Raw genomic sequence first — 16,472 nt, 5'->3', positions numbered from 1 at the left:
TTCTACAGGTAAGAAAACTGAGATTAGCCTTGTCAAAAGCAAATATGAATTGAAAAGAAGTGAAATATTTCCTAAGGAACAAATATGTAATCTATTGCAATGGAAATGTCACGGTTTTCAGACTGGATAACCCTTAGCTCGAATCCCAGGCATTCACCAATCTGAGTCCCCAAGGAAAGTTGCTTCATTTCATGAAGCCTCAGTTTTCTCACCTCTAAAATGGGAACAGTAATTCCTACTACACAGGGATAATTGTAGGAGTAAGTAAGCAAATATATAGATAGAGTCTGAACCATAAAATACCTCTGTAAGTGCTTATTACCTTCCTTCCCTTGTGATTGCAATGGGCACTCATAGAGAAAATGGGAAGCTATGTATACAGTCAGACATTTTGGCTAAGTTATTATACAACCCAGCCAGCTGCCCTTTCAGAGTAATGCTCACCTCCATGTGCTAACCAATTTGGAAAATAATATATATTTATTACCCAGACACTCTTTAGGGCCTCTTATAGCTTCATGGAGATCTATCTCAGTTCACAGACCATTGGCCCAAGTAATCATTAAAAGCTAATAAGAGCGTGTTTTTTCAATTTGGTTGTCACACATGAGCACTAAGTCTTTGCACTACAAATCTTCTTGCAACGTTTTTTTTAACTCATTACATATTTTGGCAGTGAATTGTAAGCTTACTTCTATTGTCTTTTTTTGTTTAAGAATGAGAGTGAATCATCTCCAATGACCCATTTCTCCTGCAGTGGTTGTGATTGTCTGTGACAGCCCACTCAGACAACACATGTTCTGTATGTGTGATTCTGGGGCTGAATCTGTATGTACCAGGAAAACTCAAATCCTTGAAAATAATGGCTTAAAATAGGAATGCTGACACCACCTTAACTCAAATAGCACAAATGCAGGGCTGTAATTTTCTATGCTACTTAATCTCCTAGTACAAAAACCTCTGTTGCTCAAGGGAATTCTTCATCCTGTCCAGGGGGGAAGAAATTCTCTCAAGGATGTAGTAAGTTAACAAACCAAATTAGTACACAGTTGGGCTCTTATCATCCACATTAACCTCAGGGCTCTATGGGGCTAATATCTTTAGTTGTGCTGTTTTTGCTTGCTGTCTCCAGACCACTAACCTCATTTTCTCTATGGGGGAATTGAAAGCTCTGCTCTTTGCAAATCTTCCTCTGATTTTTGTTCTCTTTGGTGGAGCAAAGCCTTCAGTTTCCGAGGTCAAATGAGCTAAGCCCCTTCCAAGAAAAGCTTACTTCTGACTGACACCATCAGGGGCTACTCTTTTTAGCAGACCTCTTGCATCAGTATCATTAAATCACTTCGCCATTTGAAAAGCAAGTTTCTTCTGCACGCACAGTTGAAGACCTCAGAAGGAACACACGGAGCAGCAGCACCACCTACTGGTTTTCCCTTAATAGCCAAGTAATGTTTGCAGCAGTGTTGTCTTTGGGTCTCTGCTTTTGCATTAGAGAATGAAGTTGTTTGCTTTGGGATTCTGTTCCCTACATGAGGATCAACAACTGGACCATCTTTAATATACTTTCTTTATAGTACTCTGCCTAATGAGATGCTTTATCTTTAGGGCCTAAATTTTGAGACAGTGTGAAATGGGAAAGGCAAAACTGGAAATATACACAATGTTTTTTGTTGACTCCTGATGGCATATTCTGCATGCCCCCACGGGTATTCCTGTTCAAGTTGATATGCATCATGTTGACTCCCATTTGCTTAGTGAACACCATGGCATATGTCAGCTTCTGCCTCTAGCAGAGGGGGAAGACAATGGCCCAATATGTAATTTTTGTTTGTTGTTGTTGTTTGTTTTTTTTTGTAGTTTTTTGTTTGTTTGTTTGTGTTTGTTTTTGTTTTTGAGACGGAGTCTCGCTCTGTCACCGAGGCTGGAGGGCTGGAGTGCAGTGGCACAGCCTCGGCTCACTGCAACCTCTGCCTCTCGAGTTCAAGCAGTTCTCCTGCCTCAGCCTCCCAAGTATCTCGGATTACTGGTGCCTGCCACCATGCCTGGCTAATTTTTGTATTTTTAGTAGAGATGGGGTTTCACCATGTTGGCCAGGCTGGTCTCAAACTTCTGACCTCAGGTGATCTGCCCACCTCAGCCTCCCAAAGTGCTGGGATTACAGGCGTGAGCCACCACACCCAGCCATATGTGATTTTTACCTGATATAGAAGAGTCTGCTTTCCCTTAAGTTGTAGGAAAGCTGCCTGATAAACATAACATTATGACAAAAATGTCTCAGAATAGCAGTTGCATGTTGTGTTATGGAAAGCTCTGACATTTCCCAAAATGGCATGCCAATAAATGATAATCTTGGAATTCAGTTGCATATCTATCTGAATTCAAACCTTGTGTTCTCAATACCACAAATATACTCTTATGCCTAGTTGGCGCTCTTGAAAATAGGTCCCCTCGTCACAAGAAGAGACACATAAGAAATAATAGTGAAGGATGTTTCAAAAGCCAAACAACTCCCTGAGCCTGTTCCTAGGTAAGACATCTTTATCAATAACGGGGGCAGGGTACAGAAATACACTAAATATCAGGTACAACAAAGGAACTTATAATATGCCTTCACTAGAGAAAAAATTACAATTAATTCCAAAATCTGCCAGAAGCCCCACATACCTCTCAGTGGATTGCATTATAATTCCCATATCCAGAAAAATAAAGAGATGTTCTGCATTTTCAAGGTTTCGAAGTTACTTATCTCTTTAGAAGATTATGTCAAGTATTTCTTGAAGAAGACAATATAAATAAACCCATTTGAAAATCAGAATTGTCCTCACCACTGCATTGTAATAGCTTTTTCAAGGTCACCAGTGACCTCCATCCATACAAATCCAATGATCTGTTCTCTGTCCCCAACAGCTCAGAGAGTAGAAATGATGTCCCACACTTACAAGGGACTACGCAAGGATGAGGCCTCCCCTCTGCTGCCTACTGGGGCAGTGAACTCTCTGTGACTCTAGGTGGACTATGGGATACCTCACTGCATCCTTAACGTCATATTGTATGGCTTTTTATATTATTAAATAATACATATCTAGATGTTAAAATTACAGTAAAGGATCAGTATGAATATAAATATTAGCCACAATCCCATTACTCAGATGACCATTGTTAACATTTTGGTGTATTTCCTGTATGGTGTGTGTGTGTGTGTGTGTGTGTGTGTGTGTGTGTGTGTGTGTGTGTATGTAAGAGAGAAATTTATAATTTTTTAATTTTCTATTTAGAATATCCTTTTCATATGCATATGCATTTTGTACATATAGGTATAGATCTATTCATAAGTATATGCGATATTTGCATTTAGCAAATCAGAAAATGTTTTAATCTTAATAGCTAACTCTATAATTAATGTCAAGGAAAAAAGAAGCCTTGAAAAGCTACTTTGTTAAGTGCTTGGGGTAGGAAATAAACCCTGGCCCCCCTCTCTACCCTCCCACCTCTCCCTACACAATCTAAGAACTGAAGGTTTGCTGGCACTGAGGCTTAGAGGAAAGGAGAAAACTGTAAAACAAAAGAAGGAATTTGTAGCTCCTAAAGCAATTTAGGAGTTAGGCTATGGTGGGCAAAGGTGGGCAGGGAGAAGAAAACGGGAACTCAGTATAAGGGCAGAAAGCTATACAATGCATCAAGACCAACCAAAACTTTCCAGCAATTCTAGTCAACTTGTTGTCACTTGTATGAGTGTACGCGGTAAAACTGGAAGGGGGAGCAGGGTTCCCAGGTAGGACAGGACAGAAGTAGTGTACAAAGAAGCCAGAGCCATAAGGGAAAATAGCCACGAGGTCAGGAAAACAGATACCCCTTGTGGTATCACAGAAATTCAAAGGAGGGCTTCGGACTTCCACCATCTATGGTGTTGGTAGACTGAAGGCAATTTAATTCAAATCTGAAAAGTTACAGGACCCCAACTAATATCTGATTTCACATGTTTAAGATGATGCAGTTTCTGCAGGTTTTCTGTGCTCTTGTCCCCCAGTGGCCAGTGGTTGACTGCCATTTGATACCTGCCTCTGCAAGCCTTCCCAGGAAATTCTAAAAACAGTCTCACTTTGGTCTTCCCTCCTGAGTGGAGAGCTGAAGACTCTGATCGAGGGTAGGGACCTCTGGGGCATTGGGAGAGACTGTGGTTGGCTTGCACAGAGCAGTAAAGTATGAAACAGAAAACTGTTGTTCACTAGAGTCCTCCGAGAGCTAAACTACCTTCAGCCTAGGTTACCAACAGGAGAGACTTTCCAAACTGTGGAAATATTTACTATGTTTTGAGCAGTAAAATAGGTAATTCCTATGTGTAAAACTTGAAATCCAGAATTTTTTTAATCTATCAAAATCTCAAGGAAATTTATTTTCCCAAGTGCTAAATAATATCCAGTTTTCTCTAGCTATTGTGTGTGAGTTTGCACACCTGTGTCAGACAAGTTATTAATATATATAAATTGATGTTAAGGGTCTTTTTAAAATATTTCAAAATGCTAAGAGCTTGAGTTAGGAAGGTGAAATAGAAAAGAAGAGGTGTATATAAAAGTTGTTGGAAATGAAAATAGAACCTTGAGAGTGACCATTTTTAGAATTATGGAAGAATGAGGAACAAAATATGATTTCACCTTTCCCAGCTTGGGAGTTGAGAATGAGGAACAGAAGTAGAGAAGGAGGCTGGTTTGCCACTGGCTTGCATAAAGGCAGATAAGTTTATTTTCCTCTTATTTCTTAAGAAATAAGTTGAGACCTTAGTTGGTCTCAACTAAGGCATGTTGGACCAGTGGAAATGGCCAATAGTCAAATAGAAGTGTGGGATGAAGTTGAGAAGATAAATCAGGGCTACTGCTGTAGGTTTAGGAAGCTTCCACATGAATCAACTGAAGTCGGCAGAGTGGGTGAGACCTCCAAAGAAGAGACTGAAAAGTCAACATACTTCATAACACACCATTTACCTTACTTGAAGAATTAATGCTTTTCAAAAAGGATTGTCAGCAGAAGGCGTGCATAAGTTTTGGGGGGGTTTCCTTTCACTTTATGGGCATGCAGTCTAACTTTAGTTCATGGATTCCTAGAGCACTTGATTCCAGGATGCAGACAATCTGATCAAAATAGTAGAAGGACAAAGAAAGAGATCTTTTAAAGTAGGGCCCTGGGCATGCTTTAGAACTTCTACAGAAAGGAAAAAAAAATTCCTTTAGCAGAAGCTAAAGACATGAGTCGGTGCCCTTGCTTCTGACCCTAACCTAAAGAAAGAAAATGTTTAGAATGCTAGAAGGAAGTCCCTTGTTCTTTAAACAAATGGACTTTCCAGAACACCAGAGTCGGCTCTCTTTGACCAACAAAAAAAGAAGGTAAGCGAAAGCATGGGAAAGATGAAAATGCAGAAGGCCAAACATTATTGGAGGAAGGCTTTAGAGCTGAGTGTCACAAAGGAATCTGAGAATATAAATTCAGCATTTGTGTGGAGTTTATGGGGGCAAAAAGGAGCACATATCTAAAAACAACAGCATGGGCAATGGTGGCTGATTCCACCATTGATTCAATAATAATGTGTATCAGTGTCCTCATAATGAAATATGGCATTTAAAATAAGTTTACGAGTGCCCTACTTGAACTTTTTGTCCTTAAAAAAAAAATTACCCTGCACCCTTGAACTATGTTACCCATCATATTTCTCTAAGTGTGGACTTCCTGAATAAGTATTCCCAGAAGGCTTATTTAAAAAGTAGATTATTGTGCACTACAGAGATCTACTCATTCTACATTTTCAACAAAAACTCAGGAGATCCTTTTGCATATTCAAGGTTCAAAAACATTGTGTGAAAAAAAAAAAAAAAGTTTGGTCTTCCAGAAACTCTGAGTCCCAGGTATTTAAAGGGAAATTCAGTTTTTCCTAGTCTCTCAAACTGGCATAATGAACATTAGCTACTGTACTGAGCCCATAAGAGCAGAGGTTATGTTTTTTAGGCTGAATAGTTATAATTTTAGCTCTAGAAAAATCCTGTAATCCCTCAGTCTGACAGGGTGACCCTGTTGTAGGATAAATCTTGCCAAAGAAATTGCAGAAATAGCTGATATTATAACCATTAAATGCACATATAAACACACACACACACACAGAGACAGAACAAAGACACTATATTTGGAAAGATTCTTAAATGATGGTAGTAGTGGTTGTGTGTTCATTGCTGTTTTCAATAAAGTACAACATTATCATTTTATTTTTGTACCAGCTACTGGAAAAAAGCAAAAACCAGACAATTTGGAGTAAAGGAAATGGAAGAAAAGGAAGGTAAACAGTTAAGTTAAAAATCCATCAGAATTATATATTTTCAGCCCTATCTAGAAAAAACAAAACAAAACACAGTGCAATGAAATCCTCTTACCCTGGTCCTACATACACTAGGTGGGTCTGCCGAAGAATATCTGCTTCTATTCATTTCCAAACATACAAAGATCAGCCCCCTACCCCAACCCCCCCCTACCTTTTTTTTCTTTTACTTAAACCAAGACTTCTTCCAAATAAGGTAGCTTTTCACAAAATTGTTTCCCCTCCTACATCTGTGTTCCTGGTGTCAGAAGCTATAGAGGCTGCTATTTTCCAGAACTGTCATTGTATTCTGTAACAAAGCATCCTTTCCCTTAGCTGAGCTGAACACTAGAGTGCTTTTAAACTAAGTTTTAAAGAATCTAGGCATCTTTTACCTTTAGCTGTCGGGTCTGACTTAAGCAATTTTCCTTCTTCCTCTTGATTGAAGCTCATTTTAAGCTTAAAGAACAGTAACTGTAATCCTAGTTCTCCTTCAAGGATTCTGAAAATGATTAAAACAGCAACACTTAATTCTTTGAGTATTAAGCCATGATATCTTAAGAAATCTGTGGTAGGGAGAATTCTAAAATGGCCTTGAAGATTTCTGCCTACTGGTATATATAACTTCTGTGTGTAATTCTCATCTTGAGTGTGGGCAGAATCTGTGAATTTGATAGAATATCATTATCATGATTAGGTTATATTCTTTGGCAAAGGTGAAGAGATTTTGCAGATGTAAATAAGTTCTCAAATCATTTGACCATAATGAATTAATCAAAATGGAGATCATCTTAGGAAGGCCTGACTTAATCAGGTAAAAGCCTTTAAAAAGAGAGACAGATCCCTTCCTGAAGGGAGAGATTCTCCCACTGGCTTTGAAGAAGTGGCCATGTTGTGAAAGGACCACATGGTAAGTAACTGTGAATGGCCTCTACGTCCTAAGAAAAGCTTCCACCTGACAACAAGAAGGAAAAAGACCTAGTTCTCTAATCACAAGGAACTCAGCTAACGAGCACATGAACTTGAAAGAGGGCCCTGAGTTTCAGAAAGGAACAGACATCATCCTATATCATTTCTTACATTTTATTTCATTTTTAATTAACAAATAATTGTATATGTTTATGGGGTACAACGTGATGTTTTGAATAGTTAATAAAAATGTATTATATATTTCAAATACCTAAAAAGGAGGGTTTTAGATGTTCTCACCAAAAAGAAATGGTAAATATTTGAAGTGATAGGTATGATAATGTGCCTGATTTGATCATTCCATTCAACATCTTGATTGCAGCCTTGGGAGACCCTGAGCAGAGGATCAAGCTAATCTGTGCAAAAATTCTTGACCCACAAAAACCAAGATAATAAATGTGTGATGTTTTAAGCCACTAAGTTTGTGGAAAGTTGTTACGCAAAAATAGAAAGCTAACCTTCACTTTGAGTCTAAAAGTTGCTATCAACAAGAGCAAAGATAAAGGAAGTTCAACTCAGACATTCAGTTTGGTCTGTAAGTTGTTATGAACAAGAGCAAAGATAAAGGAAGTTCAACTTAGACTTTCAGTTCAAGTCTATAAGTTGCTATGAACAAGAGCAAAGGTAAAGGAAGATGTGGCTGAGGAGAGGCTGCCCATATGATGGAGAACATTCTCACTAGTTATCAAGAGACCTCAATTCTGGTCCTAGCTCGCCACTAATTCATTGAATAATATTGGACAAGTCACTTTATTTCCCTGAGTCCTACCCAGTTTGCTCACACATAAAATGAAGGGATTGACCTAGATACACTCCGAGACCCCTCCAGTCTCCGATATTCTCCAAGCCTGTGAAACTATGTCCCCTGTAGCATAAGCCAATCACCTTCCTTCCACACAGCACCAAATGGTAGCTCACCATTAGGTGGCATGAACCCCTAGAAAACAAAATGTCACAAAGGATGACATTGGAAGAGTAGAGAGAATCCTGCTTTCTTTTCTCCCAAGTGTCTCCACAGTGGCATGAAAAGCAATACAGAGATACTTCTGAATCCACATACCCTAGCAAGACTCAGGTCATAAAACTACACTAGACATCAAGACCTCAAAAGGGTCCTTGGTCTCATACAAGACTTTTCTATGTCTCTGTGTACCTCTGTATGAATCAGGAGCAACTGATTACAATCTTCTCCTTATTATCACTGTTATGTCTCAAGTCATATAATAACACCTACCATTAATTGAGCAGCTGATATTAATGTTCTATCTCAGATACTTTATACACATTATGTCTCAGAGAAGATCAATAACTTATTGAAGATTACACAGTTAGGAATTCAGGATGAGAATTTTTACCCAAGTCTACCTCAGGCTGAAGCATGTGTTTTTTCCTCTGCATGACACTTGCACTGGTGTCGCAGTACTTACCCACGTGCCCTATCCACTCAACAAACATCTCATGACCAACCATTCTTATGTCACATTATAGAGTGACCAGCTATCCTAGCTTGCCCAGCACTGAGAGGTTTACCACGATGCCAGACTTGCAGTGCTAAAACTAGGAAAATCCCAGGCAAAATGGGATGAATTGGTTATCCTAACCAACCTGTGAAGAGGTCTGGGTGTGCAAACCTGGAGTGCAGGAGACATATGGAGCTATAAAGTGAGATCCTAAATGCAAAACTTTCTCTGAAAGTCACTTTATTTCACTTCTTGAGCACAATCCCATGCCCTCTATCCTAAGTGTGCCTAAACCCAAATGTGGTCTGTCCATGCAAACTCTTAAAATAACCATGCCTGATACTCTATATTACACTCCCACCTGTCAGCTGGGAATCTGCCAGAACCTGGGTAGCAGGTTTTCCCAGTCATCTGCAGGTCTGCATCATCCAATCTAATACCCTGCCTGAGATAGAGGAGGAATTGAAGCTTAACGATGCATCCTTTAACTAACTTTGCTCTTTGATCCACCTAATACCTAAATCTCTTGAGAACAAATTAAGACTTTATGAAGTCTTGAGTTGTTGTTGCTTTGTTATTGGCCTCTAATTCCAAACCCAGTAAATCTCTTATCAGCCTAATGGCAATATCTCAACTCTGGTACATGGTTCTTGATCTTCTCTTGTAACTTTACAAGTCTACATGCTGCTGACAATACAAATAGGGAAGGCTGTTGACTGAGGGAACACTTAATCTAAAATTTATATTCTGAAGTATGTGAAACCTGATCCTGGTCTCTGTTTCTCACTCAGAGTTGACCACAGGGTTCAAGTGGGCTGGACAATGGGGCCTCCAGCTGTGGTAAACTACAAAACCAGCATCTCCCACTGATCCAGGCCCATGTTGGGTTCCAGGAGCAGCATCTCCAAGCATCTAAATCTCTTGGACACTTTTTATCAGGAGGAAATCTAAACGTTTACAGTGCCAAAACCAAGATACATTATTTGGCCGGAATACTGAGCATCCAGATGGATGCAAACCAAAAACTCTGCCTACCAGATGACCCCCTCTGGGAGTCAAGAGTCTGTTTTGGAGTGGTCTTATGCTGAGATTTAGCCTGTTCAAAATAAAATGAGATGCAGCAGCCATACAGGGCCTTTGCCATGCACTATGGGTGATGGCTGCCTCCTGCATCAACTGACCTTTGCCAAGACTGTCACTTCCTTGTTTTAGCATCCCCAATAAATGCCACCTCTTTTCCTCATGCAAGCACTGAATAAACTGAAAAATAAAACAAAGGAATGACAGATTATGGTTAGATTGAAAGATGTAGCTTAGTGAGCAAGAATACGTATGCCTGAAAGTCAGACATCACATCAGGCAGATTTGCACACTTCTCCCAAGAGAACTGGAGAAGACTTCCTCTTGGCGGAAGAGTGGAGAATTAATATTTTCTGCAGCCTTCCAAAGAGAAGAGGGAAAAAAAGAGCAGGGCTACTTGCACACAGTTTGCTCTTCTTGAATTTGCCAATCGGATAAATCACTCTGATCTTCACTCACATCTTTATGAATGAGGAGGTTGAAGGGTAGGTAGGGGTTAGACTAATGGATTTTCCCCCACTTGAAGAAAACAACATATATGCCTATTAAGTCCAGCTCCAGGCAAGAAGTACTCTTGTTCCGCTAAGACAAGGACACACGAATCAGGATTTTCAGAAAAAAGTGAAGCTCAGTTGAGTGGTGAAAACTGCAAGTGCTCTAGGAAGAGAAGGGAGCAACGGGAAGGGATGATACGAACGGGGCAGGCTTCTGAGACAGGGAGACACCTCTGGCAGAAGGAGAGGAATGAGAATAATTTGGATAGCAAATAAAGGAAAGGACGATATTCCTGAAAAAGGAAAAAGCCAACCAGAATGGAGAAGTGCAGTGTGAAGGAGAGAGTGCACATTTCCGACTCATAGGGGTGAGAATCAGTGGAGTATGTAGTGTTTCCACTTATCAGAGAAGCTAATGGCCTCAAACTGAAAGCAATAGGGAGCCTTAGAGGTTCCTTGGCCAGAAGTAATAGGCTTAAACTGGGGTGAATGCATTTGGGAACCAAAATTACAACTAGTGAAAGCGTTTGGTTAAATGCATAATCAAGCTTTCTATCATACCTAGAGTTTTCATATCTATGCAAACCAAAATTGTGACTCCATTCTCTGTAAAAAACACAAAGTTGTTATGAAAAACACTTGTTACCAGACATTTGTATTTTCCAAGGAAATTAAAATTTCTGGCAAGACGAAGCTTTTAAACTTGCTTTGGTTGGTGGCACAAAGCCACTGTCGGTACATGGTGGGTGCTCTGTGTCCGCCAGAGGTGCCCGTGAGGAAGGTCCCTCTGGCTAAGTGCTAAAAGCAGCTCGGATGAGGAGAGGCAGGAGCAGAGACAGTCATCTGCCACACCTTTGAAGGTGCCCTCTGGGTACTGTGCTCTCAAAGATCCCTCAGGAGATGCTTCAGGGCTGCCCAAAATATCCCAGGCACGATTTACTGGGTCAAAAGTTTAGAGTACATCCTGAGGTTTGAAGCATTATTTAAATTCAACCTTCTGTCATTAGACCAATGAGACCTTTCTCAAACACCCTCTCCCTCTAGCTGAGGAAAAACTGTGAGAGGAAAATTAGTCCTCAGATGTCTTGGTGGCTCTGGTCCTCTGGCAGCCTTTTCCCTCCCCCACAGTGCTTCCTTTCATTAGTGTGGAATCTTCCCACCTTTTCCCCCATTTCTCCCCGTAATAAGCTACCTCAGAGAGGTTCCACTTCACTCTAGCTTAGATGTTGATCAAGAGTCATTTGCTTTTGACACTCTTGAATTTCATCTTATGATGAAAGGCTTTTTCTCCATGAAAAGAATTTGAGCCCCTGGGAAGCTGAGGAGAGAAAGATTTCTGTAAAGAGCTTTCCAGAACCACAGACATTACCTCCAAGGACAATAAGATCCTGACTTCATCCCCAGTCTCCACCTCTCCCTGTCATGCACATGGCTCTGCCCACGCCTGTTCCTCCCAGGCACCAGTCAGGCTGTGTCACCCAGAGGCTGCTCTCTCTTCTGCCCCAGGGAGATGAAAACTGCAGCCCACCAGAGCTGCCAGACTTCCCTGGCCCCTTTCACTTTGATCTCCTCACAGTCATTGTGAATGCCTGAGGATATCTGTGCCCTGAGGGCCTGCAGGGCAGTGCTGAGCAAGGGAGTCTCAGCCCTGCCTGTTGGAAGTGAGATCACAGAACATGGGGGATGAGGAGAATGTGGTGTACCCACAGGTGGAGAACCTCAGGGTCTAGCTTGTCGTTCATTTATTCAATCAACAAATCTGATAGGGTGTCTAAAATACAGTAACTACCTTCAAATATAAATTCCTATTCATTTATTCATCAACAAATTTAGCCAGATGGGGTCTGAAATAAAGTTTTCAAGAGCTTTAGATACCAGAATTTTAATATTGGGAGGGATCTTGGAAGCCATCTGCCCAAATTCTTACAACAGCAATCACCTTTCTAAAATGCCTGACAGGCATTGAAATAGAGGCAGCCCATTTTTTCCATGGACAACACCAGGTCTTAGAAATTACTTTTCTACAGTAAGCCAAAATCTGCCCTGTCAGTGTATTTCTAATGTCTAGACTACAGAGAAACCCCTATGCCCCACAAAAGTTTGTCAAATATGTGCGTGATGGCTTCTTGACTGTCCTTATAGTCAGCAGCAACATCTGTTGGTTCATTCACTCATTCCTTACTAAGAGCTATACTTCCGTGCCCTTCCCATTCCAGTTGCAAGGCTGGAGACATTCTCTGGGGTCTCAGAGTCCCCTGAGAAACACGTGAGCAGATCTGCAGATAATCTCACAGAAGTGGATGCAGGATCATCCCAGTGCACAGAGGGGTTTTTGCTGTCCGTGAGCTGTTTCTGTACTCCTCTCCTTCTGACATTCAGGTCCTTCAGAGTCATAAATGACCAAGAGAGGCAGGGACAAAAATGGCTAAAAGAGGGACAGCAATGCACTGGATCAAATAACAAGGATGCCACTGTCAGACTGACTGGAGATTCTAACAACTTTGGCAGTTACTAGCTGAGTGACCTTGAACAACTTACTGAACCTCTCCAATCTTGACTCATCATGCACGAAATTGGGAAGGTAACGTCTTTCTTATCGATTATTTTAAAATTTTATGAGATATTACCTGTAAAAAGCATTGCACAAATTAAGAGAATAATTATTAGAAGCTATTGTTGTTGTTAGTGCTACACAAGTGTCCAAAGGACAGATTGGACTAAGAAAAAAAAAAAAAAGCTCTGTATTACTTTTTATGGCTTGCTATCGGTCCCTTCTTTCCAGCACAGTCCTGGCCATCTGGATTTAAAGCTGTTCCCTCTGTGCCCCTGCTGGTGAGAAGGGAAAATAAACATCATTCCCTTGGTGTGCTAGGTCTATAACCTGGAGAGAACCCAGTCCCTGCCAGGAATGAATTTGTTTCTCTGCAAGTCAGAGACTTTCTCTGTCTATCCCAGCTGAGCTCTGAGGAGATAGGGGTTCAGACATAAATCAGGGAGTAGCAGGACCAATGTTTCACCTTTTGCTGTTCCAAATCCATATCCCCATTGTGCCATCTGTCCTATTTATAAATGGGATCACATCACAGCCTACCCCACCAGTACCAGTGGAATTCCCTCTACTCACCTTTAGCCATTTATCTCTAGTCCACCAGCCTCTGCTAAACACTAAATTATCAAAGTGATTCTAGAAATTACTCTCTAGAATTGATGCCAGTCACTGAAACATTGGAAAATTTCACATCCAATTGTTTCCCTTCTCCTGAGGTGACACATTCCCTGGGACTTGAGGCTCCCCTGAATTTGAGGCAAGTTACAAAAGGGCCAAAAAAAACCATAAGGAAATCCTGTAGATCCCATGCATCTATCTATCCATCTAGTCACCCCAGCAGGAAGTTGCTATTCTGAATGTCAAGAACTAAGATGAGGTGGTTGCTAGAGGACAGGTCATTGTTGTCTTCAGGACCGACTACTTCTTTCCTCTGGATCTTTCTCTCTCAAATTGTGGAGTTGAGGTGACTGATTCTGTGTCCTTAGCAGGCAGTCATCTCTTATAAGCCAGATTCTCTAATTACATGCTACCAAATGTTTATTTCCCCTTTGTTTCCCTCCAGCCTTCATGAAAACTCATCTCAGTGCTCCAGTCTTAGATGTCACCCAGGAGATTAAGGGAAGGGGCATTTGTACAACAGCACTGACCCAAACCTCTCCTGGCGGTGGCCATAGCCCGAGGAGGGTTTTATCGCCCTCAGGTTTTGTTTAGAAGTGACAGCCCTTCCTTCTGGATTCTTCTCTTCTTCCTTGTCTGTTCTCCAGCTTGTCTAGAACTTTAGTTTGGAAAGAGAGATAACATTTATTTATTTAATACCTTTTGGTTTCTTATGAATCAATTATTTTGGAGAAATTGTTTATCCCAGAGGGAGCACGAAACCCAAGTTTCCCTTTCGTCATCTTGGGAGAAACCCTGAGCCTCCTTTCCCCTTCACCACCTGCCTCTCCATTCTGTTTCTGCCTCAGGTTATGGCCTTTGTATTTCTTGCCTGGTTTCCTGCTAATCCTCCTAACAGCTTTCTCTGACTCTGGCTTTCCTATACCTCTGTCCTAAGGCATCTCAATCCATTGCCTGCCTCATTGAGCTAACTGATACCAGAGTGGTCCACTCTGACTCTCAGATAAAGTCTAAGTGCTTTCTCAGGGCATACAAGGGCTTTTGTGCAAAGCGCCATGAACTGCTCTCATTTCCTGAATGCACACTGCTTTCTCTCACCGACTATCAAAACTGGCTTCCCAGAGCCCGCCACTACACTGTGCTAATAGCCATCTCAGTCCTGCCTTTGCTTAAAAAACCTCCCCTTTGGCTTCCTTTCATTCCCGCAGGTTTTCCAGGGCTCTCATCCTTTTCAGGATTCAATGGCCTCACTCGAGATATGGAAATCCAGACACATATGGTCCATGTTTCCTGGCTCCACATTTCCCACAGAAGGTCCACTCCTCTCGCCTGCATTCACTCTGGCTTCCTGCCTACAGTTGATCTTCATCCCATCTGTGATTTTTTTCTATCAGGAGAACAAATGGAGAGAGGTTAAGAATCGAAAAGAAGAAAGGAAAAAGAGGAGAGATTGATTTTCCTTAAAGAAGACCTGGTCCTATTTCTGAAATGTCTCCTACTTTGAAAACCAGTGTACATCAGCTAGCATCCTAAAGGAACCTCAGTTCTCAGGACCTCAAATCAAGAGAGAGAGTCTACAGGATCATGAGCCAGACTGCCTGGGCCACCGTCTTTCTGCACCATGAGATAGGGACATTTGTTTATCACTTCCAGTTCCATTTGCCCAGTACCTGAGCTGTCAATATTTCAGTCTTTTATGCTCCCAGTAGAGGCCAATGCCTTGGCACACTCACCCCCATTCACCACATTCCCAATTCTCTCTCACTCGTTCTTTTCCCTGGGCCATTTCCTGTCTCTTATGCCTCTATTGTCCTTCATCCTCAGATAATACAGATCTCCACAGTCTCATTCTGTCCAAAACCCTGGCCGAATCATATTCCACTACATTAAACCTCTGCCTATCTTCCCTAAGTCAGAAAACATAACTAGAGATGCCAGTTCCTGCTGGTGGCTGTCAGGCTGGCAGCAAGTTCTGGCCAGAGGCAAGCAACTGCTGGGCCAGGAGGTAGGGACTGGCTTGTCTAAGAACCGTTCTCTGTTCACAAAGCAACACTGTAAGAGCTTCTATTTCTTTTTTCATCAGAATGACTTTATTTTCTGATTTAAATAAAAAAGACAAGAAGAAATGAAAAACAAAGAGGGTGTGGAGAAAGAAATTCTCTTAAAAAGTGAAGGTGTTATAACTAGATAGTCTCAAATTTCCCTTCCTCTTTGTTCCTTGATGGCCACAGTGAAGCATATAAAGGGGAAGGAATCCACTAAAATAAATGTATCCCTCTATTTCTGTTTCTAGCACTGTAAGTGCAGGCTGTGGACAGGTAAGAATGTCTGACACAGGGGACCACGGAAGAGCAGCTCAAAGACATTAGGCCCTGGGCTCTCTAGGTTCTGTGCTGCCTCAAGCATATTAGAAAATACAATCATTGCAACACCACCATTTCTCCCCTCCATGCTTTCCCTCACCCCACACTGAGGGACCTGAGACCCATGACACCCAAATCATAGGTCAACAAAGTCTATTCACATACTTGCTTAAGCAAAGGTGAGCAGTGCTGACCTCCAGCCGCCAGGGCAGCTTCTCTTACCTCCTCTCCTGCCAGTTGTTTCCACTTTTGACAACTCTTCCTGGTTGGACTGGGAACCTGCCATTCTTAGAAAGGTTCATTAAAACCCAGTCCTCTTGTCCCTAAGATGATACATTCTTTTAGTTCAGAGACATATCTGACCATGGCCCTTGACTAACTGGGATAACTAGAATTTGCAAAATCTCCAGAATTTCCACTTACGTCAAATCAGTGACACCTTCAGTTTCAGTGCATTCTGAGGATATTCAAGGTCACATACACTATCATGTCATCAGTCATGACACTATCCCCAGATAAAGCTGCCACTCAGCATACCTGTTATTCTCAGTGTCATCTCCAAGGAAAACAACAATTTTCCTTGCCCGTTGACCTACATTTGGTGTC

General features: G+C 41.4%; 1 protein-coding gene across 2 annotated transcripts in view; it reads right to left on the bottom strand.

Moving 5' to 3' along the window:
• The window catches only part of LOC124902135 (uncharacterized), a 50,861-nt gene extending 34,634 nt beyond the window's left edge, over nucleotides 1-16,227 (bottom strand). For both annotated transcript variants that reach the window (XR_007061442.1, XM_047424284.1), the window contains exons 1-2: nucleotides 16,089-16,227; nucleotides 6,730-6,836 (exon numbers count right to left, since the gene is read on the bottom strand). Coding sequence is in view for 1 of the 2 variants with exons in the window: in XM_047424284.1 (XP_047280240.1) it covers nucleotides 6,730-6,836; nucleotides 16,089-16,168 (187 nt within the window). In the remaining variant the exon portion in view is untranslated. The remainder of the gene's footprint in view (nucleotides 1-6,729; nucleotides 6,837-16,088) is intronic.
• Nucleotides 16,228-16,472: the final 245 nt, after the last annotated feature.

The sequence above is a fragment of the Homo sapiens genome, chromosome 9, assembly GCF_000001405.40.
Source record: "Homo sapiens chromosome 9, GRCh38.p14 Primary Assembly".
NCBI classification, from domain to species: Eukaryota; Metazoa; Chordata; class Mammalia; order Primates; family Hominidae; genus Homo; species Homo sapiens.
The sequence above is the reverse complement of the archived record's forward strand: the minus strand, read 5'-3'. Positions and strand labels throughout refer to the sequence as shown.